General features: G+C 46.6%; 1 protein-coding gene across 7 annotated transcripts in view, besides 11 other annotated features; it reads left to right on the forward strand.

The window, feature by feature from the left end:
• ATF3 (activating transcription factor 3) overlaps positions 1–15,091 on the forward strand; it is a 55,371-nt gene that overhangs the window by 29,925 nt on the left and 10,355 nt on the right. For 4 of the 7 annotated variants that reach the window (NM_001206484.3, NM_001040619.3, NM_001674.4 and 1 more), the window contains exon 1: positions 13,430–13,599. The exons of 1 other annotated variant lie outside the window; for it this stretch is intronic. The gene's annotated coding sequence lies outside the window, so the exon portion shown is untranslated. Of the gene's footprint in view, positions 1–11,656; positions 11,802–13,429; positions 13,941–15,091 lie in introns of those variants that run through there. 2 more of the 7 variants (XM_011509579.2, XM_005273146.2) reach the window with 2 other exon arrangements.
• Positions 552–1,751: an enhancer, noted in NCBI's record as "P300/CBP strongly-dependent group 1 enhancer chr1:212769225-212770424 (GRCh37/hg19 assembly coordinates)". NCBI's record gives its function as "activates an origin of replication core promoter dependent on BRD2, BRD4, P300/CBP, MED14 and CDK7 cofactors, with strong dependence on P300/CBP, by STARR-seq in HCT116 cells {active_cell/tissue: HCT116}" and the evidence as "EXISTENCE:reporter gene assay evidence [ECO:0000049][PMID:35650434]".
• Positions 913–1,392: an enhancer, noted in NCBI's record as "active region_2510". NCBI's record gives its function as "activates an Ori minimal core promoter by ATAC-STARR-seq in GM12878 lymphoblastoid cells {active_cell/tissue: GM12878}" and the evidence as "EXISTENCE:reporter gene assay evidence [ECO:0000049][PMID:35858748]".
• Positions 1,016–1,310: an enhancer, noted in NCBI's record as "tiled region #14467; HepG2 Activating DNase unmatched - State 5:Enh, and K562 Activating DNase unmatched - State 4:PromP". NCBI's record gives its function as "activates a minimal TATA promoter and a strong SV40 promoter by Sharpr-MPRA in HepG2 cells, with weaker activity in K562 cells {active_cell/tissue: HepG2 | K562}" and the evidence as "EXISTENCE:reporter gene assay evidence [ECO:0000049][PMID:27701403]".
• Positions 11,522–11,701: a silencer, noted in NCBI's record as "silent region_1797". NCBI's record gives its function as "represses an Ori minimal core promoter by ATAC-STARR-seq in GM12878 lymphoblastoid cells {active_cell/tissue: GM12878}" and the evidence as "EXISTENCE:reporter gene assay evidence [ECO:0000049][PMID:35858748]".
• Positions 12,098–13,055: an enhancer, noted in NCBI's record as "H3K27ac-H3K4me1 hESC enhancer chr1:212780771-212781728 (GRCh37/hg19 assembly coordinates)". NCBI's record gives its function as "activates a minimal SCP1, AML or CMV promoter by ChIP-STARR-seq in naive H9 embryonic stem cells {active_cell/tissue: H9 hESC(naive)}" and the evidence as "EXISTENCE:reporter gene assay evidence [ECO:0000049][PMID:30033119]".
• Positions 13,056–14,013: an enhancer, noted in NCBI's record as "H3K27ac-H3K4me1 hESC enhancer chr1:212781729-212782686 (GRCh37/hg19 assembly coordinates)". NCBI's record gives its function as "activates a minimal SCP1, AML or CMV promoter by ChIP-STARR-seq in naive H9 embryonic stem cells {active_cell/tissue: H9 hESC(naive)}" and the evidence as "EXISTENCE:reporter gene assay evidence [ECO:0000049][PMID:30033119]".
• Positions 13,056–14,061: a biological region, named in NCBI's record as "H3K27ac-H3K4me1 hESC enhancer GRCh37_chr1:212781729-212782686".
• Positions 13,092–13,301: a silencer, noted in NCBI's record as "silent region_1798". NCBI's record gives its function as "represses an Ori minimal core promoter by ATAC-STARR-seq in GM12878 lymphoblastoid cells {active_cell/tissue: GM12878}" and the evidence as "EXISTENCE:reporter gene assay evidence [ECO:0000049][PMID:35858748]".
• Positions 13,752–13,811: an enhancer, noted in NCBI's record as "active region_2511". NCBI's record gives its function as "activates an Ori minimal core promoter by ATAC-STARR-seq in GM12878 lymphoblastoid cells {active_cell/tissue: GM12878}" and the evidence as "EXISTENCE:reporter gene assay evidence [ECO:0000049][PMID:35858748]".
• Positions 13,922–14,061: a silencer, noted in NCBI's record as "silent region_1799". NCBI's record gives its function as "represses an Ori minimal core promoter by ATAC-STARR-seq in GM12878 lymphoblastoid cells {active_cell/tissue: GM12878}" and the evidence as "EXISTENCE:reporter gene assay evidence [ECO:0000049][PMID:35858748]".
• Positions 14,072–14,251: a silencer, noted in NCBI's record as "silent region_1800". NCBI's record gives its function as "represses an Ori minimal core promoter by ATAC-STARR-seq in GM12878 lymphoblastoid cells {active_cell/tissue: GM12878}" and the evidence as "EXISTENCE:reporter gene assay evidence [ECO:0000049][PMID:35858748]".

Below are 15,091 nucleotides of genomic sequence, written 5' to 3' on the forward strand. Positions count from 1 at the left end.
CTCTAACCTTTTTCTCCAGTTGCCCATGGCAACCTCAGCAGCCCCAGGCTACAGCCCCCTGCCTTCAAGTCCAGCTAGTGAGCTGCCTCCAGCAGCCCCAGCCCGGTGCTCCCGCAGCTCAGTGGCTCTACATGGATCCTGAGCCCCTTCCTGGACCAACCACAGTGGTCCCTGGCCTGGTTTGCTCTGACTGGTCACCCAATGCACAGGGACCGGAAATGTGCGGGGAGTGGCTTTCTCGGACGAAAACTGGGAAACCATTACTCGAATTGGGATGGATAGATGCTGAATGGCCAAGAAACAAAAATATCCTCTAAGAACTATGGGAACACAGAAAAGGTGCGTCCACGGCTAGCCTCATAAGCCGGATGACCTGTTCAGTCCCACCCTTAACAAGTTTCACATTGGCTTAATGCTCTGCTGTCACTGACTCAACATTCTTAATAATTTCTGAACAAGGGGCTCCACATTTGCGTTTGGTAATAGGCCCCACTAATTACATGGCTAGTCCTAGAGGTGACTAACATTATATTACCTACACAAGGAAGTGACTTTGAAACTGGATTTTGAAAGATATAATGAAACAGCAGTTTTGTAAATGGAAAGGTTTGGGTGGCAGGAGGAGGAGGAAATTCCATCATAGGCAAGAATGTTAGACGTGAGAGGCTTGATGAGAAAATGAAACCACTAGCGCCTCAAGTGGTTGGGGCTTAAAGTGACTGTGGGGTGTGGCCCCAGTGGAGTGGGAACAAAATATTCCTTCGATGAATTAATATTCCTTCAATGAATTAATAAACACAAGTGAAGTGAAATTTAACATGAGAAAAAATAGTTTATATTTTTTAAACCTCCATGATTCCAAATGGCCGTTACAAGATAACTCCTATTTTCCACCTCACTTTTCTACTGCACACTAAGGCTAACTTTCCCCTGTGTAACATAAGTGCCTACTGATCTTTATCACTAGCGTGTTAGCAAGGTTAGCATTCCACTTCTGTGATTTCACCATCCAAATATTTATGAATCAGAGAGATGTTTCTAAGAACATGTTTTCCAATTGTTTACTTTATAACAATAATAGTGTGCTTTAATTACAAAGATGACGTTTTACAACCTAAATAGAACAAGCCTCAGTTGTGTGGGAGTTCATTGCTTTGGTGATAAAAGAGAAACACAGACAGTGACTCAGGTGGAACATTCGTTTCATTTTCACTTTGTGTTTCCTTTGGTTCTACATGTCAGGACATGTAACAGAGCCAAGGCAGAAGAGTGCTGTGGGGGGTGTGAAAGTTAAAGCTAAGGCTCTATATGCCAGAAAGAAAGGACAATGTCCCCTCTCACCCACTGGCTCCCCTTTCAAGGCCAATGCCAAGGGGGAAAAAGAAGGTGGCTTCCCTCTGGCACATGAATGGTGAGCTAGTTAACAGTCAGTGTTTTGTTCCCAAATTCTTTAAAGGAATGCTGAAGAGATAACACTGGTTCTTCTGAATTGAGAATCTCTTTGAATTCCCACTGCTGTCTTATTTCCATTTAAATTAAGCTTAAGAGGAGAAATTAATGTTGGGGTATCTGCTAAGTGCCCAGTGTGGAGCCTCTTTCTGTCTTGTTCATTCTTGGATGTCCAGCTCTTGAACAATGCCAGGCATACAGTAGGCACTCAATACATACACGAGGAATGAGTGTATGAATTTATTCCTCACAGCACTTTTATGTGAGGAAGATGCGGGGGCAATCTTCAGATAAGAAAATAGACATTAAGTGTTGGAAATTGAGAGAAAGAGGTGGTTTGTCCAGCAAGGCATGTCCAACACAGACAGAGACAATATGGGGCCTCCTCGGTGACTCACTTTTATGTGACTAGGTATGTGTCTCTTCTGTAGAAACTTGGTCAATAGGGAATGACGACAAGAAAAAAGGGGCCCTTAGAAAATAATATCACCATCATGATCATCATCTTCATCATCGACTGTAGACACAGCGCTTATAATCACAAAATTGAAGAACTGTAAGGAATTTCAGAATTTATAATAATAGAAGCTCCCATTTACTAATGTGTTGTTATATTCTGGGTACTGAGTTACATCTATTTATCTATCTATCTATCTATCTATCTATCTATCATCTATCTCTCTATCTAGCTAGCTATCCATCCATTCATCTATCTAGCAATCATCTATCTTTTCACCCCCTGCCCCATATCAACCCTGCAAGGTGGGTCGTATTAGCTTTATGTTCAATGTTCCAGGCCAGTAAGTGGCAGAGGTTGAGACTCTTGCTGCCTTCTGGAGCCCTTCCCTTAGCACAGCCTCCTTGACTAACACAGGAGGAATTTGACCCTCAGAGAGGGACCTCAGGTTTCTCAGCTAGTGCAGAACCAGAACTTGAACCTTGGCCCGAGTGTTGTTTCCACTTACCACAGTGTTCTCAGTGTAGATGAGTACACTTTGGATTTCTTTCCGTTTCGCTTATATAAGTCACTATGAGGTTTAGCAGGACAAAAACTGAGCTTATTGAAGATTAATTCATCATTCCATCTCCTACCTTAGAAACAATTTTATTCTTTCCTGGATTCCATCTCAGCCCCTGGCACATGGTAGGCATTCAAGGAGTGCTTGATACATAATTAAGCCAGGATTTGATTTGGATGGAATCTCAGTCTTAGGTACCCCTTAATGGCAGGACTGGAAAAAAGTAGGCAAATACACTCTTCGAAAGACACACAGTAATATTAGTTTTTGCCTTCATGAAAGTTTATACTTTCATCTTTTAAGAATTAACACATCCGCACTATAGAACAATGGGATAATTCAGAAATATATAAGTAGAAGAGAAAAAAAGTTACCCACCCATACTTCCAACAACTAAATACTTTTAATATTTTATGGAAATTTCTTTATTTCCCTTATTCTACGTATTTTGTTGTTTATTTATAGCTTTTATTGAGTTATGATTGTTCTGTGTTGATATATATCTTACTTTTTAAAATTTATTTATTTTTAACTTTTATGGGTACATAGTAAGTGTGTATGTTTATGGGGTACATGAGATACTTTGATACAGGCATGCAAGATGGAATAATCACATCTTGGGAAATGGGGTATCCATCCCCTTAAGCATTTATCCTTTGTATCTCAATCCAATTATACTCTTCTAGTTATTTCTAAATGTACAAGCAAATTATTTTGACTACAGTCACCTTGCGGTGCTATCAATAGTAGGTCTTATTCATTCTAACTATTTTTTTGTAACCCATTAACCATCCTCACCTTCCCCCACCCCCATTACCCTTCCCAGCCTCTGGTAACCATCCTTCTACTCTTTGTGTCCATGGGTTCAATTGTTTTATTTGTAGATCCTGCAAATACGTGAGAACATATGATGTTTGTCTTTCTGTGCCTGGCTTATTTCACCTAACATAAAGACCTTCAGTTTCATCCATGTTGTTGCAAATGACAGTATCTCATTCTTTTTTATAACTGAATAGTACTCCACTGTGTATAAGTACCACATTTTCTCTATGCATTCATCTGTTGATGGACACTTAGGTTGCCTCCAAATCTTGGCTACTGTGAACAGAGCTGCAACAAACATGGGAGTGCAGATATCTCCTTGATATACTCATTTCCTTTCTTTTGGGTATATACTCAGCAGTAGGATTGCTGGATCATATGGTAGCTCTACTTTTGGTTTTTTGAGGAGCCTCCAAACTGTTTTCCATAATGGCTGTACTAATTTACATTCTCACCAACAGTGTACGAGGGTTAACTTTTCTGCACATCCTCACCAGCATTTGTTATTGTCTGTCTTTTGGATAAAACCATTTTAACTGGGGTGAGATGATATGTATCTTGCATTTAAAACCCACATTATCTCTACAGCATTCCCTAAGTTGTAATCTCTTTGTGAATATCTTTTAAAATAGTGGCATAGCACTGAAAAAAGACTTGTTTAAATAAGTGTCTAGTTTGTCAGTTCTCAACTATGTCAGGCTGAGGATCATTGGCTTTTCCTGGTTCTTGAGGGACCATTTCTGGTCTTCATTAATCACTTTATCAGAAAGCTAGCTGGAATAAATATTGTTATCCAAAGCCTGAGGGAAAGCATAAATTACAGCTGTGAACCAGTGAGGTAGATTTTCATGGTACTTGGTAATTATCCGTAAATTTCCAATAATCCACACTGACTCCTACATTATGCCTTAGGCCCCAACCTGGCTCTTCTTCCTCCCTCTCTCTCCTCTCTCCTCTGAGTCTTTCCATTACTTTGATATCCCCAACATGCTGATGGCTAGGGGCCATTCCCTTCTTTGACATCCCACTGCTAAGCATTTTGTCCCGAAATGCCCTTATTAGTCTTTTCCCACTTCTACTGCCTACAATACCCAATCAGTTCCTTCCCACCCCAATGCTATGCTCTATAACATCTGAGATAGGGGCATTCCTCCCCTCTCCATCTATCCTAACACCAAGCTTCTGCCAAAATCCAAAGATGTCTGCCTAGAAGTTTCCCAAAATCATCCCCTCCTGTTCTCCTTACCAGCCCTGCCTCAGGTGAGGCAACACTGCTGTACTCCCAAGACTGATCAGATGCCTGCTTAGGGTACCTGTAATGGGGAGGGCCCCCGAAAGTGAGGGAAGCTCAGTTTTAATAAAGCAATCCTGAATTTTGCAATGAAAAGATCCAGGGGAAAAAGGCTATTTTAATTTCAGTACACATAAGAGCATTGTGTTTTGTGAATAATTTTTATTTTGAGTGAACAACATACGAGAGTGGGGATACCACCATCTTCACAGTTCATCTGGCCTCCGATGGCCTCACCTGACCAGTGTTGCAGCCTCCTGATGGCCCTCCATGGGCATCTTCCTCTCCCATCCAGCCCACCCTCAGCCCTCTACCAGCAGTCTTCCTGAAAAACATCTGTTTGTGTCCATCTGCCACTGACAGACCCCCTCCCTTTGTCCCTGGGGACAGAGTCCAAACTGATTATTACATCTTCAAAGGCTATCACAGTCTGTTCTTCCCAGACTTGCTTCCCTAACGTCTCCTCCCTTCCACAAATACTCCTGCTCAGCAATTGCCTCACTGTTCTCCAAACACTGTGCATGTTCTCTCCATTCCGTATTTTCATCCACTGAATGCGTATTCACTGTGGGTCTGGCATGTGCCTGGAACTGTGCAAAGAGCTGGAAATAAGGACAGAGATGAGCAGGGCACAGCCCCTTCCTGGCACTCACAGCCTCTTCATATGACTTTCTCTATGCCTGGAATGCCTGTCCACTTCCCTTGCCTAGAAAACGGTCGGCTCAACATCCAGCTCGACAGTCACCTCAGCCATCAGCTCTTGCCAGCTTTCCTGGGCAGAGCCGTCCTGCCCCACTTTAGCCCTTGCTGCATCAGGCTGTAACTATTTGTTATCAAGTCTGTCTCCCCATGGGCTGTGAGCACCTGGAAGGCAGATATGCATCACTGTGTACCTGCAGCTTCTGACACGGTATCCAGCATATAGTTGGTGCTCGTTAAAATGTTGGAGGACTAAACATACATACATATATATATAGTATATATATAAAATACCTACTATATTGCTGGACTTCTGCTTCATGTATATTAATTTGCCACCTAAACAAGATTTTTAACTCTTCAGGTCAAGAAATGCTCTTATATTGTCCTTGTAACCCCAAGGTGTCTAAGTAGACTGCTGAGAGCAGTGTCCGGTAATAGGACACAATTTGATGCATTGATTGATAGGCATAAACTCACTGGAGTGACTCACTTTGCCCTCAGCCACTCTAGTTTCAAGTACAAGTTCATCATCTGATGATTCAAGTTCATCGTATTTTGGGAAAAGAATAAAAGTCCAAAAAGCCCTACTCAGTTTACTCAGTCAATAACAGGGCTTATGTTTGTGGTTAAAGCAAATTATGAAATAATTGCAAATTTGGCAGGGGGGAAAGTATCCCTGAGGGCACAGGGATCTGGAATTTATTAAGCATGTATCCTCTGGGACATCAGGAGTAAGAATTTTCTGGTAAGGTCAACTCTAGAAGCATCTGTGCATTCAGCAAGACTTTGGTAAAGCGAGGGTGCTCATTTTCAACAAGGTAGGGAAGGCTAAAGAAAAGTAAACACACATCATGCTCTCTAAGATTTTGAGGACAGTATCGCTTAATGTAAGTTTTGAAATAAGTTAGATTTGTGTTTAAATCAAGTACCTATGAGCAATTTTCTTAACCTTTCTGTGCTTTGGTTTCCTCATCTGTAAAACCGAGATAAAAAACCTACCTCACAGGTTATTATAAGGATGAAATAAGATACTGGGTATTTTTAAAAGTGCTTACTATTGTGCCTGGCATGTAGTATGTGCTCAGTAAATAGTAATTACTAAATAGGACCTGGCCACACATCAAGTTTTTTTAAATTTGTTTTAAAATCAGTCAGTAAGCCAGCCTGAGAGATGGAACTTTCCATGAGGGTCTAGACACTTTGGTGTCTCAGGTTTCCATATGACTTGGTAGCTTCAAGGGTAAGGCGTGAAGAGGGAAAAAAGCAATATTTATTGAATGTCACTTTTGAGGGTGAATTGTTTTTTAATTTTGGGGGGTATATAGTAGGTGTATATATTTATTGGGCATGTGAGATATTTTGATACAGGCATACAATGTATAATAAAGGTGTATTGTTCCTTAATCCCATGATTAAGGAAACAGATATAAATGAGGAAACAGACATTATCCTCATTTTACAGGAGAAACTGAGGTTATAAGACCTTCTTAAAACTAAATAAGCAGTGGCAGAAAGAGGATTTGAACTCAGTTCTATCTGACCACAGGTTCTTTCTGCCATCCCTGGCTTCTACCCTACACCATCCCCTTTTCAGCCCCAAGGATAGTATGCCTTGCCAGCCACTAGCTAAGGTGCCCCTAAAATGTTTTAGGGTGCTCTTCTTACAATCAGCTTTTTTCACCTTGGCCCTATTCTTAGCAAAAGCAGCATCTCCCCAGGTGGAGGGCAAAAAAGGGGTTCACGAGTCTCAATGGCTGCTAAGGTTCCTTTCGGTATGAGAATTTATGATTCTGACACGATGTAGAGCCACATTTTTCTCTGTAAGCTCAGTTTCCTCATCCATCAAAGGAGGGCCCTGAACTGCATCAGAGCATCCCAAGTTTCCCGTGAGCACTTGCCAGGAGGTGGTAGGTATCGTGGTTGCGCACTCAGACTTGGGAGTCAGACTGCCTGGGTTGAGTCCTGCTCTACTGCTCACTAGCTAGGTAACTTCTGGCAAGTTATTTACCCTGTCTGTGCCTCAGTTTCCTCATCTATAAAATGGAGATGTTTACGGTCCATCAAAGGGTGGTTACAATAATTAAAAGCATTAACTGTACGTAAAGGGCTTAGTACATAGCACGGAACACCCAGAATGCTACATAGTAACATTTTACACTTAGAAAGAAGGGAGGGAACTAATCCTCTCAAGGTCCCAGGAATAAAACTTTTGGCAGCCGATGCTAGACCCAGAATGTATTTGATATCTTCTCTCTTTCCTTAGAAATCCTTGCATGACTTACATTCAAATTCCACATATCTATATATGTTTAATACAACACAATATTTTAAGGATTTTTTATTTAAGGCAGACACTCAAGTAAGATCTCCTTTGTTTATCTCATGGCCCTGGTACACCTGTGTGTGCTCATGTCCAGTTTGAGAAAATGGAAGTGAATGACTTCTAGGGTCCTTTTGGCTATGGTGTCTTTTAGTTCTGAGAATCACCGCCAAACATCTACACCTGCTCAGGTGCAGACTGAAGTGACCAGCTACCTGGTAGCCACTCATGTCACCAAACTGGCATAGAGATGCTAGAGCTGCCCGAGCTACACTGAGAATTTTGCCTGAAGGCACAGGGAGAAGCACAGCCTGGCTGCTCTAATTCTGTATTACTAGCCCATGCTGCAGACTACATTTTCTGCTTCAAGGTAGATGAAGAGGAAATAAAGGAGGATGGGAAGCAGAGAGGGGCAGGGATTTAAAAAAAGGAAAAAGCGCCTGCAGGATTTTTTGTTTGGATGTTAGGAAACAAGGAAAATGCACAAGTAGTCACAATCTTTGGGGGTCCTTCCATCTTCCACCATATATATGCCGTGTGTAGCATTTGAAGGTAGACATCAAGACTCATTCTTTAACCCCATTTAAGCATCCTGAGCAATGATGGTATTTGATATCCTTTCTCTTATAAAAATATTTGAATTTGTATAGCATTCAAGCAAAATATTAGCAACACTCTAAATTCTAAAAGTAGGGAAATGATTAAGTAAATCATAGAACATCCATTGGCAAGTTATGGTAATAAGAATCAGGATAGTGGTTACCTCTGGGAAGCAAAGAGGTCTACTTCTTGAGTGGTGAGTTCCTAATGTGTTTGATTATTAAAATGTGTGTGTATATATATGTGTGTGTGTGTGTGTGTGTGTGTTCTATATAATCTTTTGTATATATGCTATACTTTATAATAAGACATATTTTTAAGAAGAAAGACCATATACCATTCGAGGTAATAAGCAAAAGAGCAAATTTCAAAGGTGCATGCAATCTAAAATCATAACTGTATTTTAAAATCATGTACATGAGAAAAAAGATTAGAGGGAAACACACTACAGTGTTAATAGTGTTGAGATTGTGGGTAATATTTTTCCCTTGTCTGTTTCCCAAATTTTCATAATGACAAAAAAATTATAGTAAAACTTTCCCCAAAGAAATCTTTAAAACTATGAATCTTTTATCTTCAAATCACTTTCACATCTACTATCTCATTTGATTCTTACAACAACCTAGGGGGAGTCAATGCTAAGTGGTTACGTTTTATAGACTGGGAAACTGAGACATCGTGTTTATGACTTGTATACTCACTCAGTTGACTGGAGGTAAACCTGTGGATGAATCCCCGGTCTCCTGAGTCCTGCTAATCTACTGACTTCCAGGACTTCATCTTGGATTCTGGGGTCTCTGGATTCAATCTCTCAAATGGGAATATCTGCTACCTGGGTTTTGGCCCTGTAGACCAAGGTAGATGTCTATGGTTGTTGATGATGGGCTACACACAAGAAGTCACCAGAGATGTAATCCATGCCTGGGGTGTTCTGCCACATCCCTCTCTCACAAGGCACCTAGTCCATGGGGGTGAAAATTCTTGGAAGTATTGGAGGTGGGAGAAGGACAGGCTGTGTTTAAGTTGGACAACATTTCTTAACTCTAGTTTTTGGAGGGGAAGAAAGGTTGCAGAAATGGGTCTGTCCTTGTTCTATTCAGTGCCTTACCTATGATGTCTTCTCTCTCCCCATCTCTCTTAGGGAAAGTTGCCAGAAGCTCATAGGGTGGCTTTGGCAGAGGGTCCCCATTCAGGACCGTCAGAGCTCAGCCCAAGGCTCCTCACTTCAGAAAAGTTGGGAGCCTTAGAAACGGGGAGTGCCTTGCTCAAGAATACCAAAGACAGAACCAGACCCCAAACCCAAATCCCCTGCTCCTAGCCCAGGATACTTGGCAGGGCCATCCAGCATTGAGGAGAGCCCCAGGTGTGTGGTGGAGTTGCTGTGATGGGGAACGAGGATGGCTTTCATCAGTGTCTGCCTGGGCTCTCACTCCCGCCCCCTCTTGATTGTCATTCCTGGAGATCGCTTGACTTCATCCACTATTTTCCACTGACAAGTGATACTGAATGAGTTCCTGGAGAGATTCAAGGGTACCTCAGAAAGCTTCTCTTGATTCATAATTAATTAATGATACCACTACTGAGGGCTGACTGGGTGCCACATCCTCAGAGAAATGTCACAACAATCTTATGCATTAGGTGCTATTGTTAGTGCCATTTTTCATTTGAGGAAATAACTTACTTAAGGTGACACAGCATCTAAGTGCTGAATCCAGAATCCAAGTGCCTTCCACACTTTGGTGCCTACTGTGTGATGCTGCCCCTGTTTCCTGACAATGCCAATTTTGGACACTATTAAACTAGCAATCCCCACATTCAAACTGACTTTGTAGAAAGAGTGAGCTTCGGAAACAGAATAAAGTATAAGAAAATGGACTCCACTCCCGTTCCAAAGCGAAGAAGTAGGTTGAGCCAGGCAGACAGAGCTGCTAGTACTCTGCCGCTTCTCTGGCAGATCTTATCTTGTGTTTCTAGCATTCTGGGCACGAATACAGTCTTAGGGTTTAGAGAACAGAGTAATGGGGCAGAGGAATGTGGGAAGGGACTGTGCACTGAACTAAGAAACTGCTAGAACCTTTAAATATCTCAAACTTTTTTGTTTTTTCTTTTGCGTTTGGCTCCCTGCAATGTTTTTCTGTTTAGATTTGGTTGCCACGAGTGGGCTGTTTTTAGTTGCCTAGTTCCTTCCCCTCCCCTTTTAATTTTTTCCCTTCCTTTTGCACATGTCCCAGCATGAAGTCTCCAACTCTTATCTCACTCAGCAAAACATACCAAGGCTGATCTGAATGTGGATTCCCCAGGCAATTCACCATCATAAAACCTCAGCAATCTTCAAGTCTCTGCTTAACCCTCTTTCATTGAGGATTAACCCCTGAAATCACCCTAGCCAGGGCTTCCTTCTAAGGCGAGACAGCCATTCTTTTGTTTGCATGGAGAAGAGTTTTGGTGTGGAAAGCTTTTCTGTCCCCTCCACTTCATGGCACTGCCTGTGTGTGTGCTGAGAGTGTGCACACTGGACATTGGTGGCATTAACTGAAGTCAGGGTAAAATAAGGATGCAAAGGACTCAGATGTTGATCACTCTCCTGTGGCAAAGACCTCAGGGGCTCTGCCTTGCTCTGTTCTTTTCCAGTCTCTCAATTCAGCAGGCATTTCACGGTTCTCCTGGGGGCTGAGGGGAGGGAGGCAGGCAGGAGTAGTTTTCGTTTTCCCTGGGTAAGAGTTTCATTCAAGTGGGAGTGGACTTAGTTCTCTGTCAAGATTCTTATCACTTTTCGGGTTTAGAATATCAGGATCAGACTTCCGTGAACAGCTGACAGCATTTCTATCCAACTTGGAGATTCCAAACTAAGAGTAATTAGAATGAAGCAAGATTGATAAAAAGAACTGGAGGCACAATGGTAATAAGAATAACCCGACCGGGGTGTTGGGGGCTTCTCCCCCCACCCCAATTATCCTTCCCTTGCATTGTTTTGTGGAGGACGGTCTGGCTGTTTGTTTACTTGACGCCCTAAGTTGAATTTCCCCTTAAGGACAGGAGCAGATCTCCACAGATCTGGCTTGGGTGTTTTAATGGAATCATAGTTCAACCTGTAAACTGGTCAAAATTTCTGTTTCACAGCAGAAAGAGTAAAAAGCTTCACGTGTTCTCCCTCCTCTCCTTGCTTCACTTTATAATGGTGCTATTTATTCCAGAACAATCTATAAGTAGATAAAATAGCTAAGTAGAGATAACAAATAACTTCATTCAAATGCAAACACTCCTCCACCTAATCCCGCCCGGTGTCCGCCGGGCTGCTCCGACACGCCCGGGGTTTACCTGCGCGCACTCCAGCGGGAGGGCGGGTTGTGGAGGTGTGCTGAGCGGCGCGCGGGGGTGAGGGCGTGGAAGCGGAGGGTGGGGCCCGGAGAGCCGTTACCAGGGCGAAAAGTAAAGCGAAAACACCCGCCCTGCACTTCCCGCGCGACGCCGCTGGAAATCGGTTCAGGTCCAGAGCAGGATCTCGGAGGATCCCGCGTGGAACTCCAGGGCTCCCGGGTCCGCCGGGGCGCAAAGACTTCCGAGGCCGCCCTCCGCGTGTTCCCAGGCCCGTGGAGAGGTGGGTGGTCTGAGTGAGGTCGGGCTTGGCGGCGAGGAACCCCGGTGGGGGGAACTGGGGACTTCAAGTGAGACCCAGGCTCCAGACACCTCTAGTTTCTACCCCAAATTACCAAACTGTGACCTTCGGCCGCCTCTCTCCCAGAGGCAGGTGGAAAGGAGCAGGTGTTTCTGCCCTTCACCGTGCCCCCACACCCTGCGGCCGCGCAGGTCTCCCTCCCAGGCAGGTGCGAAAGTCCCAGGCCACACTTGTGTCTACAAATAGTCATCCACGGGCAGTCAAGAAGGTTCCTTGGTTCTGCCGCTCTCTGAGCAGAAATTGTTGGGGTCGGGGAATAAGAACCAGGAAATCGTTTTTAAGGTTCAAACCCAGTTCTGCTGAGGTCTCAGCTCGAATCTCGGACCACGGGGCCCCGCCTTTCCCGCCACCCTGGCTTGAGGGCAGAGGGGATTTCTGCTGCGGGTTCCGCCTGTGGTCATTGCGTCCCCATTCCGGGCCGTCCGGTCCCAGTCCAATCGGCTCTGGGAGCAGAAGAACACGTGAAAGCTGAACATGGGTTTTCCCTAAATATTGCCTGAGAGCGGGGCGACCCCCAGGCCTGGGCAGGTTCGCGGACCCCAAAGCACCTTCTCTTTCCCCCTCCTCCTGGCCGCTGGCTTCCGCCCCCTCCTACCCTCCCACCGGGTTGCCTCTGATTCCTCCTGGACTCCGATCTTTTCACGCTCTTGTTGGTTTCACTGACATGTTCTTGTCAATTTCAAACGCTTTGTGATTGTAAAAAAAAAAAAATCGAACCGATACGGTCCTACCACTCGCCCTAGTTTCGGAGCCCGGAGCTGTCCTGCGTGTGCGTCCATGTGGAGTGTCCGGGGCTGCGGGCTCGGGCGCACGGTGCCAGCCGAGGGCTGCCCTCCGCTTTTGTGTTAACCGGCGGGCTTCTCGCGGTCCCCGCCGCAGAGGTCACACCCGGCGGGTAACGGCGTGGATACACCGAAGGGTGACTTTGGACACCTTCCCCACACCACAGACTAACGCTTCTGCCCCTACTCCGCCCCTGCTAGAGAAGTAGGAGGCCAGTGGGGGAGGGGGTATTTTCCTGAAGCTCCAGAAAATGACCACGCATTTTAGAGAAAGGTCGTGCCCGCTTCCCAGCCTCACCTAGTCTGGGCTGGGGCCGGGACCCGCCTCCCCACCTTCCCCGCCCCCCCCGCTCTTCAACCTAGCGGAGGGACAGATGCCAGCGCGGTGGAGTCATGCCGCTGGCTTGGGCACCATTGGTCATGCCTGGAACACGCAGCAGCGAGTACGCACATCTGGCGGCTATCCCGGGCGGCTCCGGTCCTGATATGGAGAGAGAGGGCGGGCTGGTGTGTGTCTCAGTGAGCGAGGCTGGGGGAACGCGCCTGGGCTGGCTCCTCCCCGAACTTGCATCACCAGTGCCCCCTCTCTCCACCCGCCTTCGGCCCCGCCTTGGCCCCTCCTCCACCCCCCTTCCTCCGCTCCGTTCGGCCGGTTCTCCCGGGAAGCTATTAATAGCATTACGTCAGCCTGGGACTGGCAACACGGAGTAAACGACCGCGCCGCCAGCCTGAGGGCTATAAAAGGGGTGATGCAACGCTCTCCAAGCCACAGTCGCACGCAGCCAGGCGCGCACTGCACAGCTCTCTTCTCTCGCCGCCGCCCGAGCGCACCCTTCAGCCCGCGCGCCGGCCGTGAGTCCTCGGTGCTCGCCCGCCGGCCAGACAAACAGCCCGCCCGACCCCGTCCCGACCCTGGCCGCCCCGAGCGGAGCCTGGAGGTGAGCGCTGGAAGCCGAGGGAGTGAGCGCGACGAGGGCTGCTCGCCTTCATTCCCTTCGCGCCCCTCTAAGTAACCAGTCCGCCGACCCCTGACCCACCCCGGATCCGCGCCCCCAGCCTCCGGCTTGGAAATAACTCTGGCTTAAACTTCTTCTAAGCCACCGCTGCTCCTCGGCGCTTCGAAAAGTTTCCCGCAAAGCGAAAGAACTAACTTTCTCTTTTGACTTGGGGCGCGAAAGGTTCCTGGTGACGGAGGTCGGGCGTCCACTCTGCCGCCAGCCTCGAGCGCCGCTTCTCTCCGCCGACGGCGCTGGCTTGCCCGGCTGGGAGAGGGCGTAAGGTGGGTGGGCGGGTGCGTTGGGGTGTCCGAGGCTGCCTCGCTCGCCGTCCCGCTCCATCCCTCGCTTCGAGACACGGCACTGTGGGAGCCGATCCTTCCCGGGTGGGGGGGGGGGGGCGCAGAGAGGCACGAAGGCCGGAGGCTTGCGGGAGGGCTGCCCCACGCGCCGAGAGGAATGAATGGGGAAGGGGCGAGAGGGCGGGAGGCGTCCCGGGCGCGGCCGCTGGGGGTCGCCCTGGGTACCCCGCAGCACTGGCGGCAGGACCGTGAAGGCAACCCCGAGAAAAAGTTAGCTGGGATAAGCTTGGAAGTGGCGAGCGCTGGTGTCGCGCTGTCCCGGGGCGGAAGACGGGGAGGGCTCCCGGCAACGGCTGGTGTCCGGACCCCGAGCCCGGGACTCCCACACACCTGGGACTCTCACTCTGGCTTTTCCTTCGGCGGGTCCGCGGGAGACCCACCGTGGCGGGGAAGCGAGGGTGTGGAGCCACTTGTGCAGATATTTGAGAGAATGGCTTTGTGGTCTAGTGCCAGGACTCTGAGCGCTTACACTGCAATCGATGTCGTTGGGCCTCAGTATGCGGAGCCGGGAAATAAGGGCACATGGGCAGTACCGGCCCCCTCTGCGTGTTGGAGGGCACAATGCAGTGGTTGGACCAGATAACTACTAAGGTCCTTTCTGTCTGGAGATTTTCAGATTTTGGAGTGGTGTAGTGGGGAGAAAAGGAGCCAGTGAGGGGACTTGAATGGGGTGGGTCTCTATCTAATGTCATTCACCAGTGTCCAGACAGTGGGGGAAAGGGGACTTTTCTGCAGGGCATCTTTTCCCTCACCAGCTTTCTTTCCACTGGATTCGTTCTCCTTCTCTGCTCCCCCCACTCCCATTTTCATTTCTCATCTACTTCCTTTCCTCCTAAACATTTTCTTTTCCCTAATTTCATTGCATAGGTCACATATGCTTTCTTACAAATAAAATAGTTACTAAATCCTTGATGAACCCAGAAAGAAAAGGAGAGCCAGAAAATCTGGATGTTCTCTCAGTGTACCCCTTTCGTTGTAGGTGACAGTCATATCTTCTGTTCGAAGTTTCTGTCTCTGTAACTTAAAGTGAAGGCAAAAAATTGGTATTACTGTCCCCATTGTTTTGCAGTTAG

The sequence above is a fragment of the Homo sapiens genome, chromosome 1 (assembly GCF_000001405.40).
Source record: "Homo sapiens chromosome 1, GRCh38.p14 Primary Assembly".
Taxonomy (NCBI): domain Eukaryota; kingdom Metazoa; phylum Chordata; class Mammalia; order Primates; family Hominidae; genus Homo; species Homo sapiens.